Below are 26,370 nucleotides of genomic sequence, written 5' to 3'. Positions count from 1 at the left end.
AAAACAAAAATCAGCCATTCAGTTTTTAGGTTGGTTTGGAAGTTCTGGTATTAAAATCTTACAAAGATTCTCCCCTCCTACTGTGCCCCCCAAAACAACTACCTCAGGAAAATTAAGGGGGTACCACAACATTTTTTTCTTAGGATGGTTTTGTGAGCATTATGCAGCCTCCCCGTAACATATAATCGTTATTCATTTTGTGACTTAATCAGTGCTTGAGTCATCCTTTTCATCGTTTCAGCCTTAAAGTGCTCATGTAAACACTGCTATTTTTTTTTTTTTTTTTTTTTGAGACGGAGTCTCGCTCTGTCGCCCAGGCTGGACTGCGGACTGCAGTGGCGCAATCTCGGCTCACTGCAAGCTCCGCTTCCCGGGTTCAACGCCATTCTCCTGCCTCAGCCTCCCCAGTAGCTGGGACTACAGGCGCCCGCCACCGCGCCCGGCTAATTTTTTGTATTTTTAGTAGAGACGGGGTTTCACCTTGTTAGCCAGGATGGTCTCGATCTCCTGACCTCATGATCCACCCGCCTCGGCCTCCCAAAGTGCTGGGATTACAGGCGTGAGCCACCGCGCCCGGCCAACACTGCTATTTTTAAGGACTTTGTTGATGTGCCATTTTAGTGCTCTGTCGTTCACATTTTGTGTTTTGCCACTGGCTTTTTCGTTTCTCCAGAAACATTGTTACTTCACTCACAAATTTGGTCAAAATGTGCAATACTCACATTTCAGAGTTAGTTTTCAATGGAAGAAATGAGCAAAGGTTTTTATTTTAGTTAATATAGAAATTTGAATAATTCAGAGTACAGAAAGGAACACATTTCATGAACATGGTGGGAATTTTTCACTTAATGTATTATATTCCACCAATATACAAATATTTGTATTATTTTAGGGCAGTTAGAATAGAAAATACATTTTCAGTAGAATCGTTAATAAATGAATAGAAAAATGAGAACTCATTGGTGAGGTAGAGAGCAAACACACACTAAGGGAGTGACTTGTAATTGAGCAGAAATTTCCTTTGAGTTTCCTAATAGCCAAAGCAAAAGAAAAAAAAAAAAGGAAGGAAACAAACTTACAAACTCTTACCATCTAAAAAAGAAATCATACCATTTTTTAGGTGGTACAAACATTTTTCTATTATCAAACTAGAGGTGGCTTTTACCATGTGAATATTTTTATAAAGGCTGTGGAATGATAATGTGAAAATTCCAGGGGGGAAAGTAAGCAAGAAAGTAAAGCTGCAGAGCTGCATGTTGGGAGTCAGGTGACAGAGGTGAGGAGTTGGATAGGTTGGTGTCTCAGGTACTTGAATCTCTGGGGTGGTTTTCTTCTGCCTAGAAAGGCTTTTGGGAAAGTAAATGTGAAGTCACAAGTAGAGAAAGGAAACATCAGAAGAGAGACAGCCTGAGAGTTTGCAGAGCTAAGATCTCAGGTTAATGGTTATCTGCCCCAGGGACAAAGGATGTTGTACCCTTTTCCTTAGGATTTTTCTTAGGCATTTAACTAATGTTCCCTTGTTTTACCTAGCCTTGTGTCCTACCAAACTGACATTTCAAAGAGCAGCAAGTGCCTCTTGGAGAACACTGGGTGGCTTAAACAGGATGCAATAATAATACTCTTAAACGGTGTACATTTTTTAAAATGTCTTTTTGTATATAAGAAAAATATAAGAGCTGTAGCTTAGCTCACTAATTGCCTTCCTTTTTGCAGAAAATGTGTTGGTGTATTCAGAAGCAGATCTTTCTTACAAGGACAGATTGTTTAAAGCTAACTAGTATTGTAGTCAACGCTTACCCAAGGGCAGAATAGAGCTGATCAGAAGCAAATCTTGAATTCAACTTCGTATTTATATTTTCAGGAACTCTAAAATTAATTGATCTTTCTGTTCTGCCCTTCTGTCGTAACTGCCACAGCTCCATGCAACATGAGGCTTGACATAGCTGGGAGGAAAAGGCCTTTTTTTTTTGTCTCTGAGATGAAGTCTCTCTTGTCGCCCAGGCTGGAGTGCAGTGGCGTGATCTCGGCTCACTGCAACCTCTGTCTCCTGAGTTCAAGCGATTCTCTTGCCTCAGCCTCCCATGTAGCTGGGATTACAGGCGCCCACCATCAAACCTGGCTGATTTCTAGTAGAGACAGGGTTTCACCATGTTGGCCAGGTTGGTCTCTAACTCCTGACCTCAGGCGATCCGCCTGCCTCGGCCTCTCAAAGTGCTGGGATTACAGGCATGAGCCACCACGTACAGCCGGAAAAGGCCTTTTAGATCAAAATATCCAATAATGTCCAAACGTGTCTGCCTAGAGAGTATAGGTGAATTAAATGGGGAAGATAGAAACTAATGCTTTGTGAACTGGGGCTTCCACTAGAACAGAGAGGTCCTGTGTAACCTGCATAGAGCAAGGCTCAGAGAGGTGTCCAACAGAATGGGTTCACAATTTTTTAGTCTCTCTTAGGTAGGTTTTTCAAATTAGACCTTCATTTTTAGAGTTGATATGTTACGCTATTATACTGAGTATATCAGGCACATTAAATCCAAATGGAAGAATAGCATTCCAGAGCTTAATACCAATGGTCAGGGATTAGCTAGCATTTTGGATTATACCCACTAGTGCTTTCCATTTTAAGATGATCTGACATTTGTTAGGGATAGACACCCAAGAGACACCCAAGTTTTGTGCTCTTCTTACTGGCACATTTCAAGGTTATCCTCTCACTTTATTTCTAGAAATAGTCATTTAATTTGCATATTTGTGACTTATCTTTGTTTTAAAAGCATTCCTTCTGAAGTTTCAAGAAGCACTTACTAGAATCATGCTTTGAGAAAAACTGACTAGGATAGAATCTTTCCACCTAAAATTAGGGACTGGCTTCAATGCCCAGAATTTTTAGATTGATATGCCAATAATTCCAGTAACAAGTTTTATTATGGTTTTTAAATCCTGTCCTAAAGAGCAGAAAAGTCCAAAAGGTAAATAGCCAAACTCTTTCCCACTTAATTTTTATGATTTTGTGTCTGTGTTTTAAGAGGAAACAAATCCACTTACTTCTCATTCACATTAAAATGAAAATGTTCATAAAAACTGTTTAATGCTCAAGAAGCCTTCATGAGCCTTTTAGAGCCTTTTGACATGGTTCCATTTGCTGTTTAAAATGCAGAACTGAGTTTTGGGAAGAATTAACTCTTGAGAGGCGAAATGGTTCGAGTAGGGCTGTCAGAAAGCCATACTCTATGAGAGGAAAAGACTTTCCACAATTCCAGTATTACGAAGGACCCTGGTCAGTGAGGGAATTGTGGCCTGGGATTTTGTGGTTTCTTAAAGGTCTGTACACAATTTCTCAGCGTGGTCCTGGTAGATTGAAATGTAGTAGTACCACGAAAGCAGAGCAGATTTCCAACAACATTTTCCAGCATGCTCTTGAAATTTTAACAAACTTGGCCTTTTCACTTCTTGAGGGATTTTCAGCTAATCTGTTTTTCAGTACCATATTAATAAGCATCATACAGAATTATTAAACTTGAGGTATGTGTTTGGTTTTAAGGTCCAACTGGGATATTAGCCACCTCAGAGTCCAAATCCATGCCAGTGTTGGGTTCTGTATCCAGTGTAACAAAAACAGCCTTGAACAAGAAAACTCTGGAGGCAGAATTCAACAGCCCGTCCCCCCCAACACCTGAGCCAGGTGAAGGGCCCCGTAAATTGGAAGGATGCACAAGTTCCAAGGTTACGTTTCAGTAAGTAACGATGCTCTTTACTAAGTGGTGTATAGAAGAATCTGTAATGACTAACTTGTGTGTTTCTTTGATTTGTTTCCTTTAGAGAGATTTTGATTGGCTCGCCGGTAAATTCTCTTCTTCTTTTCATTTGATGGGCCAGCTTTTTCATTCTAGGCTCCTAGCTAAGAGATCTCATTCAGATCCAAAGCAAGTACCATGTACAAAGAGAATTACTTCCCCTAAACTGGTTTGGTAATCAGGTTCTTCTACACAAATAATTGATCTGGATGATACAGACTCTGCGTCAGGAGACAATCAGTCTTTCAAGATTAAATACATCGATCATCCCTCTTAATGGTTCATGAGCAGCCCAAGAAGATACTAGATCTTTCAGAGACTACTTAGAAGGGCACGTTTTTACAACCTTCTTTTCTAGTCTTCAGTTAAAGATGTGCCTAATATTGCTCTATCCTGAAAATGAAAACATACTATGTAAAGAGTTATCTGTATAGACTTGCTTCAGAGTGGCACTTTGATTGTCAAAGAGTTAATCCTGCTATTGAATGTGTTTCAGACAGATCTAGTGGAGGATCAATTTGTTTTATAACAATGGCAGCTCTTTTTTGAAATTAGTCTACAGTTTTGCTTTAGTTCTCTTGCCAGGATGTCAGCTAGTTTGTCACTTAAAGAAAAGGAAGAGGTGAGACAAATCAGATCAGCCGAATATTGTAATCATGGTTAATTAAACCTCTGATTTCCTGTCCTATCAAGAGAGAAAGAACCCCTTTTTTGTAACTCTAGCTGTCTTAGCTTAAAAGGTGAAACCTGGACAAATGAAGTTGGAATTCAATTTGGATCTATTTTTGCCAACTGGTATTTTCTTCCTCTCTTGCATTCTCTCATTGCTACTATTAACTTTTTTTTCTCTTCTGGAATGAATGGCCTTCTTTGCTGATTTACAGTTTTATCTAATTTCACTGTGTTTAAAAGCACATTTTCTCCTGTAGTCATGTGTTTCCTTTCTTTTGACTAGAGTCATTTGAACAGTTCTAACAGAAAGATGATCTATATTCATTCTCCATCTTTCCTATTAAATTTGTTTAACACCTAATTTGACATCAACAATCTGGCTACATTTGAACCAATATCCAGACACAAAAGCAATTTGGCTGAGACAAGTTAGTTTCTGATAAATGCTTCAGTGTGTGTGTATAGATTTTTCTCCTTTACCATTTTACACAGATAATCTGAATCAGAAAATACTGCAACTCCTTCCTCCTTTTGTCTGCCTTTTGTTCTCCAAAAGTAAGTGGAAATTACATTTCCAAGAAAGGAAATGAAATAATTGCAGGCCCAAGGTCTGCAAAATATGTGTTGAATTGACAGTGAAAAGGATCCATGTGTTGACAGACACAGTTGTTAGATGCCATAAAGGCAGATGTGAAGCTCAATTTATTTCTCATCTTGCTTGTTCAATGACTGCTTAAGAGACACATTCCAGTTTAATTTATCTACTTAAAGCTCTAATACAAATACTGTGGACTGCTGTATTAACTTCTAAACTTTGAAACCTAATGCTCGATTATTCGGTTCTTGACATTCTTTAGCTAAATAAAATAACTGATGCCGTGTATTTTCATATTGACAGTAATTTACCAAATAAGAGCACCTTTCTGGAAAAATCTGTTTCTTAAGTATAATTAGACTATCCAGATTGAATCTGAGAATTCTGTGTATGTATAGGTAATTATTTACCCAGACTGGCACACTTCATTCATTTAATGTTTAAACCTTTTAATGACTAAAAGAATTTTAACTTAATGTAGTTACATGTAAGCTTTAACAGTTTGTATCATTTGTCAGAATCCCCTGAAACTGGCCTAGCTTCCAGGAATGAGAAGGGTTATTTTCAGTGCTGTGTCTGGCTGGCTTTGACTTATTAGTAAGTACTCTGTTACACTAACCACATTCTCTTACTTTATAGACTTGGCCTGTCAAAGCACTTTGAAGTCGGGTCAGCAATTAATAAGTAAAGTATTTCCTTTGCTTTTAAAAACTGTCTTTGCATTCTAGTAGTTAACACTTCTATTTTGTCTGTGGCAACACCACCGTTAGTGTTTCACGTGAGTGGCGCTATTGGCTCTTGACCTGAATCAAGGTCAAGGGAGGATGCCAATGACAGTCGGCTCTAAATACAGACATTACTGTCCCAACATATGTATGCATGCACTCTCTCACACACACACACACACACACACACACACACACACACACACCAGCCCCAGCCACTCTAACTTCCCTTCCCCCTCCACTTTGGCCTTTTTGTCCCAGTACCACTTCACCCTAGGCCCTTCGCTGCCTAGTATGGTCTTCTCTAAGAGCTGCATGGCTTACTCCCTTGCCTCCATGGATGTGTTGCTCAAATGTTATCTTCTCTATGAGGCCTACCCTGGCCACCCTATTCAAAATTGTAACTCCTCTTCCCTTAAGCTCTGATTCCCCCTTATCCTACGTCATTTCTCCCTAGAGCAGTTATCACCTTCTAACTTACTATATACTTTATTTATTATATTTATTGTTTTATTTTTTCTCTCCCCCACTGGAATGTAAGCTCCATGAGGGTAAGAATTTTTTCCTGTTTTGTCTACTGGTGTGTCTTACACACATGGAACAATTCCTGCCTTATGGTAGGCTTTCAATAAATTCTTTTTGAATAAATGAATGAATGAGCACATTTTCAGTATGATCTGCGTAAGATCTTCACTTAACCAGAAAATTAAATAAAATCACACTATACCTAGAAAGTTTTTTTTCTTTCAATAAATTCCTAAAATCAACATATGTATAGATTCCATATAATTGAGTAACTCCTCTCTGGTAAATTATAAAGTCAAAGATATACTGATTTATTTCCTAGGGACTTATAAGAAAGCAAGAAACACTTTTAATGCTTAATTATAAGGATTAATTAAAATTAACATTCCTGTCACCAACATATGCAAAGCAAGGGTGTTTTTTTTGTTTGTTTGTTTGTTTGTTTTTAAGAAAAAAGAAGAAAAAGAAAGGAAAAGATAATCAGGGCTTGGGAAAGCCTAATTTATTCTGTTTCTATTTTAATAATAGCTACAAAATGTGTCCTGTTAATTATGTCTAATAAGTATATACCATCTAATCCTAGTATCTTAAATCTCACAGTGAATGTGAACGTTATGAATTCCGATTGGTTATAATTTAGATCAGAATTATGCTCATCATGTCCCTTTATGCTATAAGAGGTAAAGGGCTGACCAGGCACATTAAGTGCAAACCTCTTTTTTGCTTTCATGCTCTTCTGTTGATTAAGATTAAATCTGATAATGTTAAAATATAGTAAGATATTTTATTCACTGATTCAGGCCAATCAGTGGGTGGGTATCAAAGAGAGAAAATTCTAAATTATAGAATTTTTTTTTTTTTTTAGATGTAGTCTTGCTGTCGCCCAGGCTGGAGTACAATGGCACGATCTTAGCTCACTGCAACCTCCGCCACCCAAGTTCAAGCGATTCTCTTGCCTCAGCCTCCCGAGTAGCTGTGATTACAGGTGCCTGCCACCATGCCCAGCTAATTTTTGTAGTTTTAGTAGAGACGCGGTTTCACTATGTTGGTCAGGCTGGTCTTGAACTCCTGACCTCAGGTGATCCACCCACCTCAGCCTCCCAAAGTGCTGGGATTACAGGGATGAGCCACCACGCTCAGCCTAAATTATAGACTTTTTAAAAGAAACTCTTTTACTTTGAGACAGCTATAATACCTGGCAATAGAATAATTAAGTGTTGCCCAGGGTCAGAAAAACAAGAATGATTTGTATTTTAATCAATAAAAGCCTGTAGACGGGAGGGGGAGTAACAAGGAAACAATGTGATTTATTTTCTAAGCCGGTGCCTGTCCACATATGCACAGGGTGGCAAGCAGCATCCAGTTATTTCCAAGACTTGAACTCTAAAGTCAGACAGAGTAGGGTTCAGATCCTGGGTCTGCCGTTTAGATATTTGTGACCCTGGGAAAGTTATGTAATCTATAACTGAATTTCCTGGTGTGTAAATTGATGGTAGTAATGCCTGCCCTGTAGGACTGTCATGTAAATTAGATCATATAGGAAAAGCATTTTAATAAATTCCTTTCCTATCTTATCTTACAATTATATTGCTGGGATAATGGATCATCAAGGACCAAAGCTAAGATACTAGACCCCTGGGTTTTTGAGTGGGCCAGATGACTTGGACAAGTTGTTTAACCTCTCTGTGTTTTGTTTTCTTTTTGTTATGTTTCTTCTAATCCAAAATTGAGGCAAGTAGATTACATACTGTACAGAGTCCCTTTCAGCTTTAGAATCCCAGTAATTCCTAGCCAATGTGTTCACTTGGTAAAGCTGTTCACGGTTAGGAAAAGGAGTAAGAGGCACATATTTCCTAGCTACGTGTCTCTCAGTGTAGTTTTTATAGAAAAACACAAACCCAGAAATGTAAAATAATTAATTTTTAAAATACATCCTCAGGACTTACAAGTCCAAATCAAAATAACTGTTATCTTTTAGAGTAGTACTCTTAGGGGCCAACATACCCATTGCAGCCCTTCACTGTTGCCCCAAATGCATTTAGACCTTTTTACATTAGAAGTACCTGATCACAGGCCAGGCATGGTGGCTTACGCCTATAATCCCAGCAATCCCAGCACTTTGGGAGGCTGAGGCAGGCAGATCACTTGAGGTCAGGAGTCCAAGACCAGCCGGGCCAACATGGCAAAACCCTATCTCTACTAAAAATACAAAAATTAGTTGGGTGTGGTGGCACATGCCTGTAATCCTAGCTACTTAGGAGGCTGAGGCAGGAGAATTGCTTGAACCCAGGAGGTGGAGGTTGCAGTGAGCCCAGATTGTGCCACTGCACTCCCAGCCTGGGCCACAGAGTGAGACTCTTAACTCAAAAAAAAAAAAAAAAAAAAAGTACCTGATCACAGAGAAAATAAATTGGGCAGTCTTTCCCACCTGTTTATTTCGGGGTGGAGAAAATGGGTGAGAAGATGAGACGACTGCTTCGGAGCCGCTCTGCTGGTCCTCTAAGAGAATAGTGTCAGTAATTCATTTTGATCAAAAGATGACGTGACCCATTTTAATCACCACTATATTCAACATATGTTTCCAAATGACTTTAGCTTTTGAAAGTGGATTCAATTTTTGGACATAGCTATCAGTTCGCCACCATTGCAGATGTATGTATTTTTTTAATGTGACATAGACACTTGATATGCCTGCCAATCACATTTACCAAAGAGTGTCGTGCAGTACAGTCAAGCCGAAGCTGGTTGGGGCCTAGCCTTCCTTCTTTCACCCCAGCTAGGTTGACTAGTCCCACATTTACACATTCTGGGATGTTGAGTAATGAGTAGCTAGGAAATTAATGTTTCTGAAACATAAGTCAAGCAATAAATAAGAAAACCCAGTATACATCAGTGTGGGTGAAATTGCCTTCCATTTTAATCCTATGTGAGATACCTGAAACATGTTAACTCTATTATCAACAGAATGCATAAATCTGATGTTCTTGGTTGATATAGGTATAATAAAGGAAAAAAGCATTTTCGGGGGAAATGCCAAGAAACTTCCATTCTGTGTGTGTGTTTTAATACTTCTATTACTCTTTATCAGTATATATTCACAATAAAATAATATCCATCTAAGAGGAAATGTGCTGAAATCATAGTAGGCAGGATGTATATGTTAGCTATAGATGGAGGCTATCGGTAATGGAACCAGCTTCCAGTTTGGGGATTGAGGGTTTTGGAATTTGCTTCTGTGTTGTTGTTACTGTATTTCACTAATATTAAGCAAGGTGCTTTTGTTTATTATTTTAATTCTCCCAAACCTATAGATTGGACATTATCCCAATTTTACAGGTGAGAAAACTGAGGCTCAGTGAGGTAAACAACTTGCCCAAAATTACACTTCTAACTGACATTTAGATCAAATTGCACTTGAACGTTTTAAACTTTATTTCCAATGCCAGTGCTTTTTGAACTATGGTGTACTGCGTTTAGTGTCTTAAGAGCTTAAGGAAGGAGAAAGAAAAGAATGACCATAAGATTCCTTCTATAGGAGGTAATGATTCTGCAGTTAAGTTGCTTCATTGACCCTAAGATACTCACATCCTGTTCCTTAGACCCTGCATACTCATAGGTAGTTTCATGTCTTCCTTTTCTCATTCTGTAAGGCTAACCTAAGCAATTTAAAGATCTCTTGTCAAGGGAGGAAAGTGTTACCCAGTAAAACAGAGTTCTGAAAAGGGAGCCTATCTGAATTAGCAAAAAGTCTTAAAGAATAATTGGAAAGAAATTATTTCAATTTTTTTCATGCCAAATGTCCAATAAAGGGCTGTGCTTCAAAATAAATTTTAGAAATTAGCCTGTCAGAATACCAGCCTTAAGCTACTTTAGTCGTCAGCATAAGTTCTATTTGCACATTTTTTATTTTATTGAACATTTTAACCATGCTGAGAAATAGTTTTTTCCCAGAAGTCAAATACCTTGAAAATTTCTGACCGTAATCATTGGATTAGAAAGATGCTTTTACTAAATGATAATATGATAATACAAAGGTGAATCACTCTCTGTGAATCTAGTTGAAAAACATACATTCTAAAGCACCAAATACATTTTATTATTGTATCCACTTTATTCTATGCCTTTTTAAGAGAGCTTCATGTTTGGTCAATTACTGGTTAACACCTTTGAGTTTGTGTTTATCCATTGGTCATTATGATTTAGGACATTTTTATTATAAAGAGAGGCAGGATATGTGGGCCTTCAGTATGGAGAAAGAGGTAAGCAGATCTTAAAATGTGTCTGCATCACAGTCAGGCAGAGGCTTAAGAGTTTCATGTTTTCTTGCCCTCTTGCTTTTCTCCCCTGAAACCATCTTATCTGAAAGTGGCGCTGCTTGTCTGAATTGAGCTTTTTCATCCATATTCACACTTTTTCAATTAATTACTTTCAGGAAGGTGAATATCCTCCTAACAGTTGCAATTAGACAAGGTAGTCAGCCTCAAAGATGATTTTTCATTTTATCTAGTTACTTCTTTAAAACCTTACTTCAAAAGGGAGAAGCCCTTCGAAAGGGAACTCCTGTTCCATTTCAACAGTGTGGTTTGCAGTGCTTTCATAGCTGTGTCGTCTTGGTCATTCTCAAAGATCCTTTTAAGCCACAATTAATTGCCAGAGATTCTTCAAGTTAACATTTTTCTAATTTATCATGCTTCTCTTCACCCCAGGGTCCCCTCAAAACTGTAAGCTTTATCAAGCTCTTTTCAATTTCCTTTTTAACTGCCAGACAGGCAGTTTGCTTTTTCGTTTGGGGGAGTCAAAAGAGGTTACATGCTGCCCTAGAAGAATTTAAAAAACAAAAACCCATGTGGCAATTATAAGACTTCAATTTCAATAGAAAATGTTCATTTCCAGTGAAACCATTTTTATTTTAATTTGCATTTAATTTCTATGTCTGTGGTATCTCTAAATACATGTGACTTTTGGCCCCACACAAATTTATTTTTGTAAGAGTTCATCTTGTTTGGGCCATTAATGAAACCAAAGGGTAGTTGACAAAAGATAAATTTTAGATGTTTCTTGGTTGGTGTGACCAGTCAAACATTTCCATGAAAGAAAAAAAATCTAATTGCCTTTCAGGTTTTGAATTAAAAGTAAGATTGATTTTTATCATTGTTTGACCTCTAACTGGTCTCTTCATTCAGTATTTCTGATGTGAAACTAATGTAGAAAAATGAAATAGGAAAGTACTGCTTTTTAATTTACTGGAGCTGGAGAATCTGAGCTATTTTATTTTATTTTGTTTACTTTCTCTAATCCTATGAAAGATTATGAGCTTTTGAAATACATTAGCAAATAAAAATTGAGATTCTTAACTTACTTTAGGGAAACTTGGCATAAAATTATTCTCTCAAACTAATTATCTCAGCTGGAAATTAATTTAGTTGGCCATATAACCATTCCTTAAGAGAGGTTTGGGGTCATGTTTTGTTCAAATGGAGACTAGGGAAGTTCTTTTAGTCCTGGGATGGAAAGGAGTGGATTTTGTTCCTGATAGATACTCCCACCCCCACCATTTCCTCATAACCTCCGCTTCTCCGCTTTCTTTCTCGTGTGTGTGTGTGTGTGTGTGCACATGAGTGCCTATCAGGGAGGGGGAGGGAAGGCGCCTTCCCTGTACTTAGTAAACATTTGTTTCTGAGAAGAGACTACCAGCTAGCAGAATGAACTGCATGGACGTTACTGCTTAATCTGATGCTCTTATACAATTAAAGGATTTGCTCTGCTCTCAACTGTAATCTTAGTACTGCTGAATTGTGTACTGACACTGCAGGAAACAGCTCTGTTCAGCAAAGCGCTGCTACAAAGGTTCTCCATGTGCGCCTGTACATGGACAATTAAGTTTTAACAACAAAATTAGCAGAACAACTGGATGTTCTGGAAGTTGAGATCCCTTCACTTCATTTTTTTTCCTTCCCCCGCTGCCAAGGAGTTATCCTGTGGACTGCCCGAAAGATCCGCCTGTCAGGATTGTCTTACAAGTGTTCTGAGTTGCTGTGCAAACAGCAACTTCCTCCAGATTAATTGTTGAGGATGTATTACACCTAGTGTAAAAATGACTGTTAAACTGCTGTTGAGTAAATCTCAAAATTACTGTTAAAATGCTGCTGAGTAATTCTCAATTCTCTCAGAGAATTAATTGCCTTCTAACATTTGCTTCCAGTTGCAAGCACCTATGATTTTTAAGAGACTTTGTATAAAATATACCATTTCTGCATAGAGAACCAAATTGCTTTCGGTACATTGTAGTTTTCTTAGCCATTTTTCAATAGTCTACACAGTGTTTATGTTTCCTTTTATTTGTGTATAGTGGAGTAGAGGGGAGGTTTTTTTATTCAAATAGAAGAAGCTAAAACTCAAATGCAATGTCAGATCTCAGAATAAACTGACCCAATTTCTGAAACCCAATAAACACATTTCATTTGTAATATTCTTTATTATATAGCTCTATGAAAAGTAATTTGTGACTTTCGATCTTAAAAGAGAGTTTTAAAAATACACAGTAAATTGAAAGAAAAACTACTACATTTAAAACAGTATTTTCCTGAAAACATAGAATGAAAATGCAAGTATTTTGTGCATGGCAGCTGTTTTTAAGGAACCAATGTTATATATGGTGAATTTTGTGGAAGACTATGTCTCTTAAAATATTTCTTATAAATAACATGGCTTTTAATAGCTGGAATCTGAGTGGATTTTCCATGATGACTTAATGTTGTGCAGAATTATAAAAAGCTAAAAAACGAAGCTTAAGAAAATGATCACCCACATTTCAGAATCTTTGGCCGAGCTGAAATCGTAGTTCACGCATTGTCAGTGTTGCTTTTGCTGTGAGAATAGTCCGGTTTCCTGAACCTCCTTGTGCCAGTGTATTTTAGATTCTGTAAATGTGTGCAGTCCAGCCTGCACTAGAGGAATAAGATAATATCCTACAAGGTACAAGCTACAAGGCTCCCTAGCATTGCATTGTGGTCCGGGAGGTAAGCCGTGTACTGGGATGCCTGTGCTGCAGTCACTCAGCTAAAGAAAATATTGCTGAGCATAGACATAGATCTTTGCCCAGCCATTGTTACCTATGTTAAAAAGGAATTCTTGTTCATGTTGAGAGCAAATCAGCATCTAGAGGCTGATGTCAGATTTTCAAACATAGTAGTATTCTGTTGTTTAACAATGTAAATAATTAAATCTACTTTTTCCACAAATAGAAGTGGACCCAAATTGACAAACTTAATACGTTCTTTGAGCTAAAATGAAGTTTTGAAAAAGTACCCAAAACAAAAAGAATTGAGCTTTGTTCTGCCTTTATTATATTTTAAAATAATGCTAGAATCGGTAGTAATATAGAAAGTTTCACCTTAGGTTTGAAACTTTATTTTGTGAAGTTTTGGACAAGTGTATTAAAAATTTGTGAAGTTTTGGACAAGTGTATTAAAATCTCCTGAAAAATAGGGTTTCCAAAAGAAACAATCAAAACTACCTCTGCTGTAATGCCACTACTGTTCACTGCAGTAACTGTATAAAGGGCTTGGAAAAAAATAAGAATCCTTATTTTTACACCAGAGAAAATATAAAAGGAACTTCCTCTTTGGAGTTTGTCCAGGAAACGACTTTATAAAGACAAATTTAAATCTTTCTGTTTTCTGTCCTTGAAGGCGGTAAATATGGTTGCGGTTTTATCCATTTTTATTGTAAATGAAACAGAGTTCAGACCGTCCGGCTGTGCGTCATTTGTTGGATGGCTGCCACAGACTAATGCAGACATCCCACTGGGAGACCAGAGAAGAACTATACTTTGATTCACCAGATTGTGTTAAATAGTCCAGCTGTTGCGATTTGAAAGATAGTTACCTCAGAAGTGAAATAGAAATGAACTTGGCATTTATGCCTCAAACCATTTTTATACTGTTTGGCAATCAGCTTTTCAGAGGTAGCATTTTATAAAATAACTCTCACCGCTTAAAAGTTCATTCACTGTAATGTTCAAAATGTCCCACCTTTATATTATCAGTAAAATTAAGCTTGAGTGATATGCAGAATTTGCATGAAATAAGCATTTCCCCCTTCATTTCATGAGCTTTGATTGTATTCAATTGAGCTCAGAACCACGTCTATTAGGGCTCTTTTGGGCATTAGTTAATTTGAATTGCAGCCGAAATGTTAGCTAGAATGTTGTTGAATATAGTTGGAACGTGGAAAGTTGATTTTGAAAGGAATTTCATTGAATGCAAACGATGTCCTTTTTAAAAATTAGAATGCTGCATTTTCATCTCTTGTAACACAGTCTGAGAAATCACTGAGTCCTGTAAAGTTCAGCGTTGGCATGGCCATTGCCATTGTTCTGATTCTTCTGGTACCAGTATGGTTTGGAGTCAGGTCTTTCCTTTTACTAGTAAGTTGCCCCACCTGCTCAGGCCCCACGTTTGGGCTCTCTTGCAGTAGGGGCACAATAGCTGCTTTCTAAAAGGTCACCCAAGTTTTACTTGGGCACCAGGCTTCATAGAGTGGCATAACTTGGTATATTTCTCGTAGCTTTTATTTTGCTTTTTGGTTTTTGGTTTTGTCTTGAAATAGCCTTTGAGCACATAGTCTAATATGACCCGTGAAAAATATCTATATGAATGGATCATAAATGACAACCAGTATGTTGTGGTAAGAAAAAATTATTGGACAGGAAATCAGGATTCCACTAGTTTAGTCCTGTGTCTGCTGTTAACAAGTTGTATGCTGATTTAACCTCACTGTTCCTTGGACACTTCATCTGACAACTGAAAAGGTTAGACTAGCTCACCATGGTGATCCCTGTCAGCCCAAGCATCCCATGATTTTAGTTTTAATTTATAAGTGATACTTGTAAAATTTAAGTTTTACTTGCAGATTTTGTGGCATGCAGGAGACAGGCTGCCATCACTTTTTAGAAGTACAGACTTTTAATTCCTTATTGTGGTCTTAGTCCTTAGAGGTTGCATTAAAGTAGAAAAAAAAATTGAACAGAATGACAGTATATTACAATTCCCATTGAAGTGTTGCATTTGAGCTTCTGGGATTTCTACCTTGGGGAGAAGCTTCATATTTAACCCTCTAGAACCTGCCACCATGACTACTAGAGTGAGAACTTGGGTTCTTGGCACCATCACTGATGCGGCTCTGTGGCTCTTCCCATACGATAGGAATGAAGGTAGAATGAGGCCTAGGAGAAAGAAAGGACTCTCATTCCAGAAGGAGTCTTGGGCAGCTGCCCGTGGGAGCCAAGAGTGGACCTAGTGATGTCAAGCCAGGAGGAGCTACAAACCACAGGGGAAAAATTAAAACTAAGGGATAGCTTGAAGGGATAGACTTTATTTACAGATCTGGAAGATGGAGATGGAAACGGATTCGGAAAGAATGAAATCAGTAAACATGCCAAAAACTAGCCTGTAGCCTCCTGTTTCTAGGAGAAGATGCCTTTGAGAAACAGCATGCTGTCATGGAAAAGGCAGAAACAGGGAGACAGGAGCTTCTGACTCTTGTTCTGACTCTGCCACTGATGAGCTGTGTGGTTTCGGGCCAGTTCCTTCCCCTCTTCATGCCCCATCATCCTCATCTGTAAAAGGACAGGTCAGACTAGACGATTGCCCTAGTCCCTTTCCACCTTCCACTGGGATTCTAAGGCAGTGGTCATTATCCTTGAGAAACCAGTCACTCTCCCTCCATGCCTAGATTCAGAAAATGCCCACTGCGCCTAGTTCAGTGATAACAAAGGGGTTCTCAAATTGTAGCCTATAAGTGACTTAATAATAGATTAATCTGCAGTCAAGAAGCTTGCTTCAGGACAGGGAGATCGTTCTTTGGACTGAGACAATTCCAGGACAATTTCAGCCTGACAATACTAGGTTTATGAGTTTTCAGTTCAATCAACATCCATGTATTGCTGCTGTGGAGCCCAGAGAGCACTTCCTGGAAATTTTTAGCCCTGAGCTGATGAAGAAAGCTTTTTCTAGGATCTGTGCACCACCCCTTCACCTACAGACACACACGAGCATGGAAACATCCATGGTAGTTCTACAGAAGTGATGAAGGTTAGTATGGGTTGATGGAAGTTGCTCACCTAGAATGAGAGAAATACTACCTCCTTTGCATGCTGAAAGCAGTTTGACTGGCTTACATAAGAGTGGGCCCAGGCCCAAGATGGTGAAACCTTCGTACTGGTGACTCAATCTGCAGACTTGGATGGGACTTTCCCTGGAACCTTAGCTGGGCTGCAGCTTTATTTCCTAGAATCTCCTCACCTGTTTGTTTTCAGTTTAGAGTTGCCGACAGATAAATCTGCATGAGATTTAGAAGGTGGAAGTGAAGTAGTTGTCTTAAAAAAATTTTTTTTAACCCTCGGAAGGTCCGTGTAGGGCAGGCTCTGTTATAGCTTGTGCATGACATTCCTGATGTGCTGACTCACCTAACTGGCATGTGGCAGTGACTGGCCCACAGTTTCTCCAGCTCCCCACATCTCCTCCTCCAGCTTTTCCAAATCCTGGGGCAGGTGCATGTGCAGCTCCTTGGGGAAGGCTCCTGCTTATTCTGCAGATTGTCTTGCATCATCAAGATTGGTGCTTGTGAGAGAGAGATAGGTGCAGCTCTAGTTTGTCCCCAGTCTCTGTCACTTTACAGCCGCCTTCCCTCCCAACTGTCAGAACAGCTGACTGCAGGCCCAGTGTCAGACGCAGAAGCAGCAGATTTACACAGACGGCATGACTAGTGCCTCTCATTCCCTAAGGTCTGATTCCTCTGATCAATCCTTAATATTACTCATAGTTGTTCTGCTTCTCCCATCACAGGCTTTTAAATATTGTGTGGGTCAGAGAGAGTCAAAACAGGTACCACTGGAGAAACTACACCCCATTCTGATTCCCAAAGCATAGCGGCAGATGTCTGGAGAAGTAGTTCCTTGGCCAAGGTAGATGGACAATGTCATGGTGCCATAATCAGGCAAAAATAAAGGAATCTGTCCTCACTACAGCACAGCCTGTCCCCAGGCTCCTGATTATTTTTGTTTTTACCACCTCCAAGGAAGACATAGTGTTTGTCACTTAGGATGATGACCGAGCCACACATAGGTAATATAACCCAGTAGCCAGAGGGAGTGGTTTTTAAACATTTGGACAGATCTTACAGTACTGGTCAGAAAGTGAAAAAAGCAGTGTGGTCTTTGGGTTTGAGGTTTTGTGCCCGTGACCGGGTCATGCAGGTTACTTTTGCTCAGTAGTTGATCATTTGTTCTGTTGTTTTTGTTGCAAGAGAGACATCCAGACCTACTCACACCCAAACCTTGATTTCTCCCCCTTCATTCTGAACCCTTCAGTTTATTAGTATTTGCCCATTCGTTTAGTCCACAAATGCATCTGTGCTAGGTGCTGGGGATAGAATTGTGAGTAAAGCTAAACAGTCCCTGCCTCGTGGATGTTTACATGCTATTGGAAGAGACAGACAGGAAACAATTGTGGTAAGTCCAACAAGGGAGAGGTATTAGGTGGTAAAAGAGTGTCTCCTGCCAGCTCTGACCTGCTGAAGGGGTCAGAGAATAGTAGAAACCAACTCCTGGTGAGGGGCTGGTAGAGCAGTGGGCAGGCACTGGCTGGCAGCTCACTGGCACCTGGCGGAACACCAAGAGGTGGGATGGTGGTGTGCCGGGTCATGGTTAACAGCCAGTTCTCAGGGACAAAAAGGCCTGATCCTAGCATTTTCCAAAAAGACCAGAAAAGTCCGAAAGCCCCAGCCCTGCCTGCTGCAGCTGCCTCCACCTTCAGGCCGCAGCTCAGCAGCCTGAACCTTCGGGTGTTTCAGAGATATCTGTTCCCATAATGAAATCCTCACCCATTCAGCCTGAGAAGCCATAGCTTCTTGCAGCAGAAGAGACGAGAGAAGGAGTCTGTGGAAAACTGCCTCTGAAATTCCATAAGAAATTTCTCAAGAAACCTGATTCTCCTTTTAGAAACATTAATGGTAACTTAGCATTTTAGCTTCTACTCTGGCTCTCTCTCCGCCCTTGGTCCTACCACCACCCCCTCCTGAAGTCTGACCAGGTCTCCTCTAGTTGGTAATGGCAGCAGTCAGCATGCCTCTCACCTGTCCATCAGTGATGAGGGGTGATTACTCCCCTTGTCCCTGCAGGCTCCTCAGCACTACCCTGCAACCAGCCATACCCAGGGACACACAGGAGGGAAGGGAGTTAACTGGCTCCATCCAGCTAAGTGAGGGCGGGTGGGGGTCTGGGCAGCAGGCTGTGAGAAGTTCACAGTTTGTCCATGAGCTTTACGCTTCCTGAGAAGAGAATGCAATTAAGCAGGTAGGTGCATTTGGCTTTTTAACACTTCTGTAGTTAATCGCTCTTTCTCTGCCTTCTTTCTTCTGGCCTTGTGCTCCTAGTATCAGCTGTGTAATCTGATAGCTTCATTTTTTCTTTTAAATGGCTGGCATCTCAAAGACTACTATATGCATGTTGATTAGACTTAGAACATTTTGGGTTTTATGTTAGTCTGAATCCAGAATATCAGAGACAACTATTTTCTCTCTCTGCTTTTTACTTTTTTTGTCTAACTCTTCATCTCATAGGCCTCCCAGTAGCATTGGATGCAGGAAAAAATACATTGACGGTGAAAAACAAGCCGAACCAGTTGTAGTTTTAGATCCTGTTTCTACACATGAACCCCAAACCAAAGACCAGGTTGCTGAAAAAGATCCAACTCAACACAAGGAGGATGAAGGCGAAATTCAACCAGAAAACAAAGAAGACAGCATTGAAAACGTGAGAGAGACAGACAGCTCCAACTGCTGATCCATAAACCAGAAGCCTGACATGTTTGGAAGTCCTTTTCAATAAGCACATGATTAGTGTTGTTATATTGGCAAGGGCTGTAGACATTCTGCTCTGGTCACTGTATTCAGAATACAGGTTCTTTTCTGGTGTCACTTTTGTAAGTAGCAACTATAAACATAAGTAAGCTGTTTAGCAAAACACACATTCCTAGTAGGTTTTGGTTTTTTGATCTTTATAAAGATGAGGTTTTTTTCCTAGTTACTGTATTAAGTATGACTTCTTTTAGAAGGTTACAAAAAAATTCAGATGTTGATACCTTTTTAGGAAATGTGCATACCACTCATCAAATGGAATGCTGAAAGTTTGAGGTGCTTGTATATAATCGGATAAACAAAACTGATCAACCCAATGTGATTTTAAAAGCCCCCAAAGAAGCTTCTGTTTTGGGTCTGATCCTCTTGATGGAGAAACTGCAGCAGCATGGAAATTGTTGGGTACTGTGGCATACAAGTTATTTTCTACAGTAGACTGAGATAAACTGAAAACTCAGGAGCTGGCATCAAACTCGTAGTCCCATAGTCAGTGTTAATTACACACATTGTTAACTATTGGATGAAAAATACATGCTATTGATTGTGTCCAAAGCCTCCCGAGGACCTCCGTGGGGATGCTCTGGTAGCCTGAATACAGAACTGAGGTGAAAGTCCAAACCTTGAATTTTACAGTAGTAAGTTGGTAAACCATGTGCTCTGTGCTATGAGTTAATTATGTTTTCCCAAATACTAATGTGGCACAAGTACCATATTTTATCAGAGTTCTTATGTACAGTATGGTGAAGATAAGTGACAAGCACACATTTTTCTTGCTTCACTGCTGTTCTATATTACACAGGTTTGTTGTTGTTTTTTTTAAAAAAGAAATTAAGCAGTAGTTAGTCTCTAAAAATACAATGTTTCAGGCTACCACAGTGAATAAATAGAAATGTAATCAGGGATTAAAAAAAAAACTTATGCAGCTTTTCAAAGTTGATTGTTTCAAAATTGGTGTTTATTTAAAATAAGTGGTAATGTACTTGAATGCACTTTTTATGACAATGATTCAGTAATGGTAATTTTACTATTAAAGAAAGTGAAAGGTTTAGTTTTGTTAGCATGGCTCAGCATGTAGCTGTCAGGTGTTTTTCACCTAAGGGCAAAAGAAAATGATAGTAATAATTGCAGTAGTTGTATTGTATTGTATTTTTGCACGTGTGGTAAGCATAGGCTTGAAGAGGTGGGTAGGCAGGTACATGTACTTCCTAAATTTGGAGATAATTATCTTTCTGTAAGTTCGTTATGCTTGACTGTTTCCATGTTCTCCCAATAATGATTTTATAGTTACTTATCACTTTACTCATGGAGAATTAAAACGTAATGTTTTTCAACTGTATCTTTCTTTAACTGGATAATACTGCTATATGATATGCTTACTACAGACTGCATTAATTCACGAAACGAATTCTGTTATGCTGTAATTTGAACTCTCCTCACCACAACTTATTAAAAAGGCACCAATAGTTTCCCATTAAGGGTCAGTTGTGGTTATTATTAACGTTTCTGGTTTAGTTCCCCAAGCTTGACATTCTTTAATAGAAAATTGTATATGATTTGACAACTTTAGTAATTTTTAATAGTCCCTAAGATGGTTTATTGAGTTTTCTTTCATGTTTCTTTGTGCTGTCTTCCTTCTTGCATCTGTGATCTGTCTGCCAGCATGCAACTCACACACATTTAGGAATATAAAAATATGTACACTGTCTTTCCATATTTCATCACACCATCACAGAATAATATGGTTATCAAAATACCCTCCTTTCTAGAGTAAGAAGTTGCCCTTTGGGTGAAATGTGTTAGCTGGACTAGGGAACAATTAGTAACAGGTATTTTGAAAGTATTCCTGCCTTTTTTAAGCTGCTTACTTTCTCTCACTGTGATTACAAAGCATTTTAAATTAATTTGACATGAAGGTATTTGATGGAAGATATTCACTCACCTTTTTCTGCCTACAGTTTTTCCCTTTTCACTTTGGTTTTGAGGGGGTTTTGCCCCTGGCTGGGGTGACACTGTCAACCAAAGCAAGGGATCCCAAATAGGAAGACATAGGAGAACCGTGCTTATATCTGCAAGGTATGTTCATAGCTATTGCACACACAAAACTTACATACGTCCTGCTTACACAATTTTAAGTTGGAAAAGACTGCATCTTTATGTTTTTGATTTCTCTAAAAGGTTATTTATGCTTCCTTCTGTTTGGGAAAGATAAATTAAGTCTTGTGCGCTATAGAGGATTTTTTTTCTTTAAGAAAAACGAATGTTGATGCATTTTATAGCCCGAGTGAGGAACAGAGATAGAGGTACTTTGTGCCATTGCTATTAAAGAAAAAGAAAATGTCTCTTTTTTTTTCTGGAAGAATAAGATTTTAATTAAAGCACTTGCACCCTTTTGTATGTGAGCTGGTCTCAAACAAAGTCCTCACCCACAGCAGTTTCAGCAGCTGAACAGTCCCATGGAAGTTCTGACTGGCAGGCATCAACAGGGCTATTAGCACCCAGCATAGTTTGCCCTGAGTACGGAGGATGGATGCTTTGGCTCTAACTACTCACCAATAATTGCTCCTTCCTTACCTTCTTTGTTAATGGTAAACTGCTGGAAATGGAGTAGTACAGGTAACAATTATTTTTAATTGTCTTTCCAGACCAGTTTTTGGTTGTGTGTTCAGTAAATGATAGTCTGTATCACAGCCTTCAAGTCTGGATTATTTTTCTAAATGCATACTCTACCTGTTCAGTTACACTCGTTGTGGAACAACATTAGCTTATATACCAGTAAGTTGTCGAGAATGGATAACCATCTGTCATTATCACTGACCTTCAAAGACTCATCAAGCAGTCCCTGCATAAGGATTGGAGTGGTTTGAAGTTTCTCTTCCAAGCACTAACATGTCCCTATCCCACAGTCATTTTAATTTGGTATGTGACTGTTTCTTTCATTTCTTTCACAGATAATATTATATATACAGTTATATAAATATATTTCATATTAAATGTTATATAACACAAGAGAGAGAAAGTATAAGTAGAAAGAGTGCCTAGCACCCTAAGAAATTTAAATTAAAATGCTAATTATCCATTGGTGAGTGCAGTCTCGAGGATAGGTGAGTAAACTGCTCTGTGTTGAAGTCACACTGCTGACCTGGTTATTGTAATAAATCACCTCTTTGGTTAATTTAATTTAGTTATTTTGTTATTCATTGTACATTTTTGCTCTGGTTTTAGTAATTTAATTATAATTTATATCACTGTTCCAGGGCATAGTCTCATGATGTGTGTGTGTGTGTGTGTGTGTGTGTGTGTATTTTTCAAAGGGTATGTGAACACCCAGTCATGTTTGTTCTGCCTTTCAAATGAATTTTCCTTCCAGTTTCTCCTACCCGTTGCTTGTTGCTAAGCATCAGGAGAGGCAGTAGCAGCCACAAACTGTGACACAGTTCTTCCAACTTAGAGTGATACCAACCAAGTCTCCTGCATGCTCTGAGAGAGTCTGCGCCTGAGCCAGTTTCAAATCATAGCTTTGAGAATAAAGAGTTGGCTCTGTTATGAGGAAATTAAGGTCCCTTGTTAGTACTCTTTAAAAGGAGAGGTCCTCAGTGTGCTTAATAAAAATTATAGAATTTGTCAGAAGTCTAAACTTAGCCAACTCCCCTACAGGTCAGTACATAGCAATTTATATAATTTTTAGGAGAAGCAAATGGTAACCATTTTAACGAGACCCTAAATCATATAAAGTGGTTGGATATTATTATATCTATATGTTTGTGTCTGAATATATTTATTTCTGCTACTCCTCTGCTATAATCCCAACACTGGCTTACAAAAGAGCAATTCAGGCAATGGATATGTCACATCATTTTTTTTTTTTTTTTTTATCACTTGCGGATTGCTTTTTAAATGCTGTGGTATGAATAACTGGGCATTTAATAACCTTGAGAATATTAATTCATTTACTGATGTGCTTATTCATTTATACTCATTCTTACTCCAAAAAGGATCTAAGAAGACTCGCAAAGATAAAAATAATACAAGAAAAACTAAAATTTAAAAAGGAGAGGGAATTAGGAAAAAAGGAATCAAGGGTAGGAAAGTGAGATGAAATTGGCTCTTACAAAAAATGGTGATGCTCTCACACTTCTACGTGAGGTTGGTTACAAAAATGTGTCAGTGCTTTTCAGCACAGACATGTAGAATAAACACAGAAGATGGACATCTGTTCCCAGCACAGAGAGCTTCTAGGGTCATTAGGTTTTTGTTCTCAGAGATATTCTGATTGGTAAAGGATGGGGTGTTTGACTGAGTGTGGAGTTGGCAACAAAAATATTGGCCTCTTTTACTGGAGCGTGTCCCTGAAAAATGGACAGGAGAGCTAATAGACAAACAAAATCCACATGGAAGTGTGGTGGCTGCAAAACGAAGTTCACAGAATTTCAGGCAAAAACATCATATATGTAATTTACCAAACAGTGGAATTAGAAGAATAAAAACCACAAGAGTTGGTGAAGTTGAAGAGGAAACTCCATGTGGAGACACGGCGCCGTACTTCAGACCTCCCGGTCTACTAATACTGATGGTGTGGCTGGAACCTGGGGTGTGTACAGCCCTATCCAGAGGATGCTCCTGTTTCGGCTGATTCCTCTACACCTTGTGTGGGGAAGGTGGGCACCAGCGGCTCCCTAGCCGCAGCAGCCTCAAGTGCCTCCGCAGCCTTTTCAGCTTCCTCATTAAAGTAAAAAAAAGTGTGTTCTTCTTTGAAACCTATTTAAAGTAACAATAAAGTTTACTGTCTAATCCAATGGTGCCAGTTTTTATATACTACATAAGTTGAAGGAGATCATCTTCAGTACTAGTCCAAAGGTGTCACATCACCATCGGAAAGGACTCCAGAACCATTTACAACTGGGCGTATCTTTGGTTATATGTTAATTGTGCCATACAGATGTTCTGTTCGATTTTACTTGCACTCTCATTCAACATTCTGGAACATCTGATGACGCATCATGGACTTTGGGCAGAGGCTTAGCGGAAAGGGTTAAGAGGAAGGTGATAAACTGGGGGAAAGGCCAGTATTAGGCATGATACAAGCCACTGCCAGCTGACTGCTCCCAGGGAAATGATGGCAGGCGAGGACCATTCCAGTCAGGTCCTTACATGTAAGTATTGACAACATTTTAATGGCTGAGCTTTTGCCAAGATTTCCTACTCTAAAGTGGGAGTGGAGAGATTTATTTTTCCAGTTTTTGGTCCCTTTAATAGTGATTCACCAAGGCCAGTGTCAGAGAAATTCTCCTCGATCTGTTAATCTATTGTGGAATACTGAGGCGGCTGCACTGTCACCACAGAGGGGTGGAGCCTGTGGTCACCAGAGTCCTTTTGGATGCCCTGCAGCAGCTGTTTCCCTCGTGGTAACGTCTGGCTGGAACTGGGATTCAGGGAAGCTAAGGCCTCCAGTCAGGATGTCCAGAAAAATAATCAGATATGTGGAACAGTATAATTTTACCTATTTGAAAAAACTAGCCCTTCTACTACACACTAAACAATACAGACTAACTTTTGACTGCCCTTACATGACTCAGAAATAGTCTCCCAATTATATCTTTATTTTCTGAATCCTAGGATGCATTTCAAGACCGCTACATACGTTAAACATGACAAGTTTATAATCACAGTTTCTGTTGGTCTCTTTAAATGCCACTGCATGCTATAGGCCTCCTTTTGGCCATCACAATCAGTAATATAAGAAAATAAAAATGCATATTTGGTGTGTTTCTCTCTAGTTACCCAGTATACAAGGTGCTTCTAACCATGCAGATTTACAAAGGTTCAATTTCATTAAATGATCGATTTCTCTTGAGACCTTAATCTTTCCAAGGTATGTTAAAATTAACACGCTGCCTACTTGTTTTTAAGTAAAACAGTTTGTTTCCAAAAACCCTCAGGAAAGTGTCTGCCTTTAACTTTCATGGGCTGTGCAGGGAAACCTTAAGTATAATTTGGACCATAACAAAAGGTAGGCTTGGAAATTCCAATCAATTAATTCTATTGAAGAGCATCGTGCAGCCTATTCATCAAGAAAAAGGGCGAGAGTTTTAAACATTCAGGTAAATAGATGATCCATTAAGACAACAATATACATTGTGGCAAGTGCCATCCTAGTTTTGTCAGCACTTATGTATGGTCTTTGGATTCCCCTGCCCTCCTGCAGAGGGACTTCTATTCCCCCTCTTCCAATCTTTGTTCTCTTATTCATGGCTAAGTGGAAACAAAGCAAGAAAGCAGCGCATACCCAGTGTTCCATTCTGGACAAGTTCTTCCTCTATAGTGAGAAGGCGGTTGTATTTAGTCACTCGTTCACCACGGGAAAGACCCCCCAACTTGATGAACCGGACACCAAGCCCAACAGCCTGAAAGGGGGGAAAAAACTAATTTTAGACGGAGGAGCCATGTCTTGCTAAACGACAAACAATTCTTTAAAGACAAAGGAAACTGTCACAGTGTGCTGTTTGGGATTTTCTCTTACTAGTTTTTTATCTTTATGTAAGCACAGTGGCCTACAAGCTGAGAGTGCTGAAAGGCAAACAGATGATGTGGCTGACTATCCATCAGGCACTTTACTAGTCACGTAGGCATGCTGATTTTATGTAAGAACGTTCTGGCCTTTCTTCATTTTAGGAGGAAAGATTGCAGGTGCACACCCCAGTCATTTAAGTGTGCTCATCATTTTCCCTGGACTTCAATTTTTCTTCTTTTTAAAAGTTCAAAGATTAGCTCTTTGCAAAAGGTAGCTATCTGGGAGGAAGCAAGTCTATTTCATAAAAGGTTACATGCCTTTCTCCACCAGAGACTGCATTTCTCTGAAATACCAATTCGTGATAAAAGCAGTGTTTGGCAGTTGACCAGCATTCAGCACTTACCAAATCGACAAGGCTGTCATCAGATGATTCTCCTTCTGTACTTCCAAAGACAGTGATGTGCTTCTTACCTGGAAGAGGAATTTCTTTCAGTTTTATATGGTGTAGAAAGTTAGGATACATGTGGGCCTCTGGGATCAAAATTTAAAATTTCTCAGATTTAAAACTTCCCTGTGAAGAGTCAATTATTTGCCTACCTAGGATTCTAACGTTTGCATTTTTATTGCCCTGCT

The 26,370-nt window shown here is 39.0% G+C and overlaps 2 protein-coding genes across 9 annotated transcripts in view; one reads left to right on the top strand and one right to left on the bottom strand.

The window, feature by feature from the left end:
- SHTN1 (shootin 1) overlaps positions 1–24,022 on the top strand; it is a 245,110-nt gene extending 221,088 nt beyond the window's left edge. For 2 of the 5 annotated variants that reach the window (NM_001258298.2, NM_001127211.3), the window contains 2 exons: positions 3,542–3,734; positions 18,933–24,022. In NM_001258298.2, the coding sequence (NP_001245227.1) occupies positions 3,542–3,734; positions 18,933–19,155 (416 nt within the window). In that variant the 3' untranslated portion in view covers positions 19,156–24,022. Of the gene's footprint in view, positions 1–3,541; positions 3,735–4,958; positions 5,188–18,932 lie in introns of those variants that run through there. The other 3 variants (NM_001258300.1, NM_001258299.2, NM_018330.7) reach the window with 2 other exon arrangements.
- Positions 1–26,370, bottom strand: part of ENO4 (enolase 4) — a 62,877-nt gene that overhangs the window by 6,877 nt on the left and 29,630 nt on the right. For 3 of the 4 annotated variants that reach the window (NM_001242699.2, XM_011539797.4, XM_047425228.1), the window contains 3 exons: positions 26,141–26,208; positions 25,513–25,630; positions 22,898–23,984 (listed from right to left, as the gene is read on the bottom strand). In NM_001242699.2, coding sequence (NP_001229628.1) covers positions 23,830–23,984; positions 25,513–25,630; positions 26,141–26,208 — 341 coding nt within the window. In that variant the 3' untranslated portion in view covers positions 22,898–23,829. Of the gene's footprint in view, positions 1–22,897; positions 23,985–25,512; positions 25,631–26,140; positions 26,209–26,370 lie in introns of those variants that run through there. The other variant, XM_006717835.4, reaches the window with a different exon arrangement.

This window comes from Homo sapiens, chromosome 10 (genome assembly GCF_000001405.40).
Source record: "Homo sapiens chromosome 10, GRCh38.p14 Primary Assembly".
Lineage (NCBI taxonomy): Eukaryota > Metazoa > Chordata > Mammalia > Primates > Hominidae > Homo > Homo sapiens.
Note: the sequence above shows the minus strand (reverse complement) of the source record. Positions and strands in the feature narration are given on the sequence as shown.